Source organism: Homo sapiens, chromosome 17, assembly GCF_000001405.40.
Source record: "Homo sapiens chromosome 17, GRCh38.p14 Primary Assembly".
NCBI classification, from domain to species: Eukaryota; Metazoa; Chordata; class Mammalia; order Primates; family Hominidae; genus Homo; species Homo sapiens.
The window spans coordinates 24,200,328-24,206,518 of NC_000017.11; the positions used below are offsets into that span (position 1 = coordinate 24,200,328).

Sequence of the window (6,191 nt, forward strand, 5' to 3'; positions counted from 1 at the left end):
CTATTTGGACCACTCTGTGGCCTTCGTTCGAAACGGGTATATCTTCGCATAAAATCTAGACAGAAAGCATTCTCAGAAAATACTTTGTGATGATTGAGTTTAAATCACAGAGCTGAACATTCCTTTGGATGGAGCAGGTTTGAGACACACTTTTTGTAGAATCTACAAGTGGATATTTGGACCTCTCTGAGGATTTCGTTGGAAACGGGATAACTGCACCTAACTAAACGGAAGCATTCTCAGAAACTGCTTTGTGATGATTGCATTCACCTCACAGAGTTGAACATTCCTATTGATAGAGCAGTTTGGAAACACTCTTGTTGTGGAATGTGCAAGTGGAGATTTGGAGCGCTTTGAGGCCTATGATAGTAAAGGGAATAGCTTCATAGAAAAACTAGACAGATGCATTCTCAGGAACTTTTTGGTGATGTTTGTATTCAACTCCCAGAGTTGAACTTTCCTTTGGAAAGAGCAGCTATGAAACACTCTTTTTCTAGAATCTGCAAGTGGACGTTTGGAGGGCTTTGTGGTTTGTGGTGGAAAAGGAAATATCTTCACCGAAATACTAGAGAGAAAGCATTCTCAGAAGCTTCTCTGTGATGACTGCATTCAACTCACGGAGTTGAACACTCCTTTTGAGAGCGCAGTTTTGAAACTCTCTTTCTGTGGCATCCGCAAGGGGACATGTGGACCTCTTTGAAGATTTCGTTGGAAACGGAATCATCTTCACATAAAAACTATACAGAAGCAGTCTCAGAATCTTCTTTGTGATGTTTGCATTCAAATCCCAGAGTTGAACTTTCCTTTCAAAGTTCACTTTTGAAATACTCTTTTTGCAGGATCTACAAGTGGATATTTGGACCACTCTGTGTCCTTCGTTCGAAACGGGTATATCTTCACATGACATCTAGACAGAAGCTTTCTCAGAAAATTCTTTGGGATGATTGAGTGGAGCAAACAGAGCTGAACACTCCTTGCGATGTAGCAGTTTAGAAACACCCTTTCTGCAGAATCTGCAAGTGCATATGTGGACCTCTCTGAGGAATTCGTTGGAAACGGGATAATTTCAGCTGACTAAACAGAAGCATTCTCAGAACCTTCTTCGTGATGTCTGCATTCAACTCACAGTGTGGAACCTTTCTTTGATAGTTCAGGTTTGAAACACTCTTTTTGTAGAAACTGCAAGGGGATAATTGCACTTCTTTGAGGCCTACCGTAGTAAAGGAAATAACTTCCTATAAAAAGAAGACAGAAGCATTCTCAGAACCCTCTTCGTGATGTTTGCATTCAATTCACGGTGCTGAAACTTTCTTTGATAGTTCAGCTTTGAAACACTCTTTTTGTAGAAACTGCAAGTGGATATTTGGTCCTCTCTGAGGATTTCGTTGGAAACGGGATAAACCGCACAGAACTATACAGAAGCATTCTCAGAACCTTCTTCGTGATGTTTGCATTCAACTCACAGTGTTGAACCTTTCTTTGATAGTTCAGGTTTGAAACGGTCTTTCTGTAGAAACTGCAAGTAGATATTTGGCCCTCTCTGAGGATTTCGTTGGAAACGGGATAAACCGCACAGAACTAAAACAGAAGCATTCACAGAAAACTCTTGGTGACGACTGAGTTTAACTCACAGAACTGAACATTCCTTTGGATGGAGCAGTTTCGAAACACACTATTTGTAGAATGTGCAAGTGGATATGTGGGCCTCTCTGAGGATTTCGTTGGAAACGGGATAAACCGCACAGAACTAAACAGAAGCATTCTCAGAAACTACTTTGTGAAGATTGCATTCAAGTCACAGAGTTGAACATTCCCTTTGACAGAGCAGTTTGGAAACTCTCTTTGTGTAGAATCTGCAAGTGGAGATATGGACCGCTTTGAGGCCTATGGTAGTAAAGGAAATAGCTTCATATAAAAGCTAGACAGTAGCATTCTCAGAAACTTCTTTGTGATGCTTGCATTCAACTCACAGAGTTGAACTTTCCTTTCGAGAGAGAAGCTTTGAAACACTCTTTTTCCAGAATCTGCAAGTGGACATTTGGAGGGCTTTGAGGCCTGTGGTGGAAAAGGAATTATCTTCCCGTAAAAGCCTAGATAGAAGCATTGTCAGAAACTTCTTTGTGATGATTGCATTCAAGTCACAGAGTTGAAGGTTCCTTTTCAAAGAGCAGTTTCCAATCACTCTTTCTGTGGAATCTGCAAGTGGATATTTGGACCTCTTTGAAGATTTCGTTGGAAACGGGAGAATCTTCACAGAAAAGCTAAACAGAAGCATTCTCAGAAACTTCTCTGTGATGTTTGTGTTCAACTCCCAGAGTTTCACATTGCTTCTCATAGAGTAGTTCTGAAACATGCTTTTCGTAGTGTCTGCAAGTGGACATTTGGAGCGCTTTCAGGCCTGTGGTGGAAAACGAATTATGGTCACATAAAAACTGGAGAGAAGCCTTCTCAGAAACTTCTGTGTGATGACTGCATTCAACTCACAGAGTTGAACCCTCCTATGGATAGAGCAGTGTTGAAACTCTCTTTTTGTGGAATCTGCAAGTGGATATGTGGACCTCTTTGAAGATGTCTTTGGAAACGGGAATATCTTCACATAAAAACTAAACAGAAGCATTCTGAGAAACTTCTTGGTGATGTTTGCATTCAAATCCCAGAGTTGGAACTTCCTTTGAGAGTTCAGGTTTGAAACACTCTTTTTGTAGGATCTGCAAGTGGATATTTGGACCACTCTGTGGCCTTCGTTCGAAACGGGTACATCTTCGCATAAAATCTAGACAGAAGCATTCTCAGAAAATACTTTGTGATGATTGAGTTGAACTCACAGAGCTGAACATTCCTTTGGATGGAGCAGGTTTGAGACACACTTTTTGTAGAATCTACAAGTGGATATTTGGACCTCTCTGAGGATTTCGTTGGAAACGGGATAACTGCACCTAACTAAACGGAAGCATTCTCAGAAACTGCTTTGTGATGATTGCATTCACCTCACAGAGTTGAACATTCCTATTGATAGAGCAGTTTGGAAACACTCTTGTTGTGGAATGTGCAAGTGGAGATTTGGAGCGCTTTGAGGCCTATGGTAGTAAAGGGAATAGCTTCATAGAAAAACTAGACAGATGCATTCTCAGGAACTTTTTGGTGATGTTTGTATTCAACTCCCAGAGTTGAACTTTCCTTTGGAAAGAGCAGCTATGAAACACTCTTTTTCTAGAATCTGCAAGTGGACGTTTGGAGGGCTTTGTGGTTTGTGGTGGAAAAGGAAATATCTTCACCTAAATACTAGATAGAAGCATTCTCAGAAGCTTCTCTGTGATGACTGCATTCAACTCACGGAGTTGAACACTCCTTTTGAGAGCGCAGTTTTGAAACTCTCCTTCTGTGGCATCCGCAAGGGGACATGTGGACCTCTTTGAAGATTTCGTTGGAAACGGAATCATCTTCACATAAAAACTATACAGAAGCAGTCTCAGAATCTTCTTTGTGGTGTTTGCATTCAAATCCCAGAGTTGAACTTTCCTTTCAAAGTTCACGTTTGAAACACTCTTTTTGCAGGATCTACAAGTGGATATTTGGACCACTCTGTGTCCTTCGTTCGAAACGGGTATATCTTCACATGACATCTAGACAGAAGCTTTCTCAGAAAATTCTTTGGGATGATTGAGTGGAACTCACAGAGCTGAACATTCCTTGCGATGTAGCAGTTTAGAAACACACTTTCTGCAGAATCTGCAAGTGCATATTTGGACCTCTCTGAGGAATTCGTTGGAAACGGGATAATTTCAGCTGACTAAACAGAAGCATTCTCAGAACCTTCTTCGTGATGTCTGCATTCAACTCACAGTGTGGAACCTTTCTTTGATAGTTCAGGTTTGAAACACTCTTTTTGTAGAAACTGCAAGGGGATAATTGCACTTCTTTGAGGCCTACCGTAGTAAAGGAAATAACTTCCTATAGAAAGAAGACAGAAGCATTCTCAGAACCCTCTTCGTGATGTTTGCATTCAACTCACAGTGCTGAACCTTTCTTTGATAGTTCAGCTTTGAAACACTCTTCTTGTAGAAACTGCAAGTGGATATTTGGTCCTCTCTGAGGATTTCGTTGGAAACGGGATAAACCGCACAGAACTAAACAGAAGCATTCTCAGAACCTTCTTCGTGATGTTTGCATTCAACTCACAGTGTTGAACCTTTCTTTGATAGTTCAGGTTTGAAACGGTCTTTCTGTAGAAACTGCAAGTAGATATTTGGACCTCTCTGAGGATTTCGTTGGAAACGGGATAAACCGCACAGAACTAAAACAGAAGCATTCACAGAAAACTCTTGGTGACGACTGAGTTTAACTCACAGAGCTGAACATTCCTTTGGATGGAGCAGTTTCGAAACACACTATTAGTAGAATCTGCAAGTGGATATTTGGGCCTCTCTGAGGATTTCGTTGGAAACGGGATAAAACGCACAGAACTAAAACAGAAGCATTCTCAGAAACTACTTTGTGATGATTGCATTCAAGTCACAGAGTTGAACATTCCCTTTGACAGAGCAGTTTGGAAACTCTCTTTGTGTAGAATCTGCAAGTGGAGATATGGACCGCTTTGAGGCCTATGGTAGTAAAGGAAATAGCTTCATATAAAAGCTAGACAGTAGCATTCTCAGAAACTTCTTTGTGATGCTTGCATTCAACTCACAGAGTTGAACTTTCCTTTCGAGAGAGAAGCTTTGAAACACTCTTTTTCCAGAATCTGCAAGTGGACATTTGGAGGGCTTTGAGGCCTGTGGTGGAAAAGGAATTAACTTCCCGTAAAAGCTAGATAGAAGCATTGTCAGAAACTTCTTTGTGATGATTGCATTCAACTCACAGAGATGAAGGTTCCTTTACAAACAGCAGTTTCCAAACACTCTTTCTGTGGAATCTGCAAGTGGATATTTGGACCTCTTTGAAGATTTCGTTGGAAACGGGAGAATCTTCACAGAAAAGCTAAACAGAAGCATTCTCAGAAACTTCTCTGTGATGTTTGTGTTCAACTCCCAGAGTTTCACATTGCTTTTCATAGAGTAGTTCTGAAACATGCTTTTCGTAGTGTCTGCAAGTGGACATTTGGAGCGCTTTCAGGCCTGTGGTGGAAAACGAATTATGGTCCCATAAAAACTGGAGAGAAGCCTTCTCAGAAACTTCTCTGTTGTGATTGCATTCAACTCACAGAGTTGAACCCTCCTATGGATAGAGCATTGTTGAAACTCTCTTTTTGTGGAATCTGCAAGTGGATATGTGGACCTCTCCGAAGATGTCTTTGGAAACGGGAATATCTTCACATAAAAACTAAACAGAAGCATTCTCAGAAACTTCTTGGTGATGTTTGCATTCAAATCCCAGAGTTGAACCTTCCTTTGATAGTTCAGGTTTGAAACACTCTTTTTGTAGGATCTGCAAGTGGATATTTGGACCACTCTGTGGCCTTCGTTCGAAACGGGTACATCTTCACATAAAATCTAGACAGATGCATTCTCAGGAACTTTTGGTGACGTTTGTATTCAACTCCCAGAGTTGAACTTTCCTTTGGAAAGAGCAGCTATGAAACACTCTTTTTCTAGAATCTGCAAGTGGACGTTTGGAGGGCTTTGCGGTTTGTGGTGGAAAAGGAAATATCTTCACCTAAATACTAGATGGAAGCATTCTCAGAAGCTTCTCTGTGATGACTGCATTCAACTCACGGATTTGAACACTCCTTTTGAGAGCGCAGTTTTGAAACTCTGTTTCTGTGGCATCTGCAAGGGGACATGTAGACCTCTTTGAAGATTTCGTTGGAAACGGAATCATCTTCACATAAAAACTATACAGAAGCAGTCTCAAGAATCTTCTTTGTGATGTTTGCATTCAAATCCCAGAGTTGAACTTTCCTTTCAAAGTTCACGTTTGAAACACTCTTTTTGCAGGATCTACAAGTGGATATTTGGACCACTCTGTGTCCTTCGTTCGAAACGGGTATATCTTCACATGACATCTAGACAGAAGCTTTCTCAGAAAATTCTTTGGGATGATTGAGTGGAACTCACAGAGCTGAACATTCCTTGCGATGTAGCAGTTTAGAAACACACTTTCTGCAGAATCTGCAAGTGCATATTTGGACCTCTCTGAGGAATTCGTTGGAAACGGGATAATTTCAGCTGACTAAACAGAAGCATTCTCAGAAC

The 6,191-nt window shown here is 40.9% G+C and overlaps 1 annotated feature.

Moving 5' to 3' along the window:
- Positions 1-6,191: part of a centromere (Linear centromere model derived predominantly from reads generated in PMID: 17803354. This region does not represent an actual centromere sequence, as long-range ordering of repeats and unmapped WGS contigs is not provided by the model. For details of model production, see http://arxiv.org/abs/1307.0035.) that runs on past both edges of the window.